Here is a 1,512-nt window from a genome sequence, read left to right on the forward strand (position 1 = left end):
ATCTCTCACCTTCACTCTGCAGTTAGCCACACTGGCGGTGTCTGAGTGCCTCTCATACACAGTGGACTCTTGAAAAAGTTTTATTTATTTTTTCCTAGTCCACGCCCTTAGGCTCATATACAAGGCTCTTTTCACTCCAACGTTTATCTGTTAACCCTGCCTCATTTATCATTTCTCAGCTGTAGTCACTTCTCTCATCTCCCAGTATGAGTTTACACTTTTGGGTTTCTTTTTTATTTTTTTCTTTTTAATTTTTGTGGGTACATAGTAGGTGCATATATTTATGGGTTACATGACATATTTTGATACAGGCATGAAATTTCTAATAATCGCATCATGGAGAATGTGGTATCTATCCTATTAAGCATTTGTCCTTTGTGTTACAGACAATACAATCATACATGCTTTTAGTTATTTTTAGATGTACAATTAAGTTATTATTGATAATAGTCACCCTGTTGTGTGGTCAAATAGTAGGGCTTATTCATACTTTCTATTTTTTTTGTACACATTAACCATCTCCACCTCCCCGCCATATCTCCGCTACCCTTCTCATCCTCTGTTAACCGTACTTTTATTCTCTATCTTCGTGAGTTCCATGTTTTGTTTCTAAGATCCCACAAATGAGTGAGAATATCTGATGTTTGTCTTTCTTAGCCTGGCTTATTCTGCTTAACAGAATGATCTCCAGTTCTATCCATGTTGCTCCAAATGACAGAATCTCATTTTTTTCCTCTGGCTGAACGACACTCCATTGTGTATAAGAACCACATTTTTTCTGATGTATTCATCTGTTGGTGGACACTTAGGTTGCTTCCAAATCTTGGTTACTGTAAATAGTGCTGCAAAACAAAACAAAACAAAACAAAAAACAACAACAACAACAACAACAAAAAACACGGATGTGCAGATATCTCTTCAACATACGGATTTCCTTTTTTTTTTGGCGTATATCCAGCAGTGGGATTGCTGGATCATATGGTAGCTCAATTTTTGGTTTTCTGAGGCCTCCAGACTATTCTCTGTAGCTGTTGTACTAATTTATATTCCGACCAACAGTGTATGAGGATTCCTTTTCCTCCACATTCTCACCAATATTTGTTATTGCCTGTCTATTGAATAAAAGCCATTTAAATTGGGGTGAGGTGATATCTCACTTTGGCTTTGATTTGCATTACTGTCATTATCAGTGACATTGAACACCTTTTCATATGCCTGTTTGCCATTTGTATGTCTTCTTTTGAGAAATGTTTATTCTGATTTTTTGCCCATTTTAACATTGAATTATTAGATTTTTTTCCTAAAGAGTTGTTTGAGCTCCTTATATATTCTGGTTATTAATCCCTTGTCAGATGGGTGGTTTGCAAATATTCTTCCATTCTGTGGGTTGTGTTTTCACTTTTTTGATTGTTTCCTTTGCTGTGCAGAAGATTTTTAACTTGATATGATGATTTCATTTGCTTATTTTTGCTTTGGTTGTCTGTGCAAGAAATTTTTGCCCAGCTCAATGTT

Source organism: Homo sapiens, chromosome X (genome assembly GCF_000001405.40).
Source record: "Homo sapiens chromosome X, GRCh38.p14 Primary Assembly".
In the NCBI taxonomy this organism is placed as follows: Eukaryota; Metazoa; Chordata; class Mammalia; order Primates; family Hominidae; genus Homo; species Homo sapiens.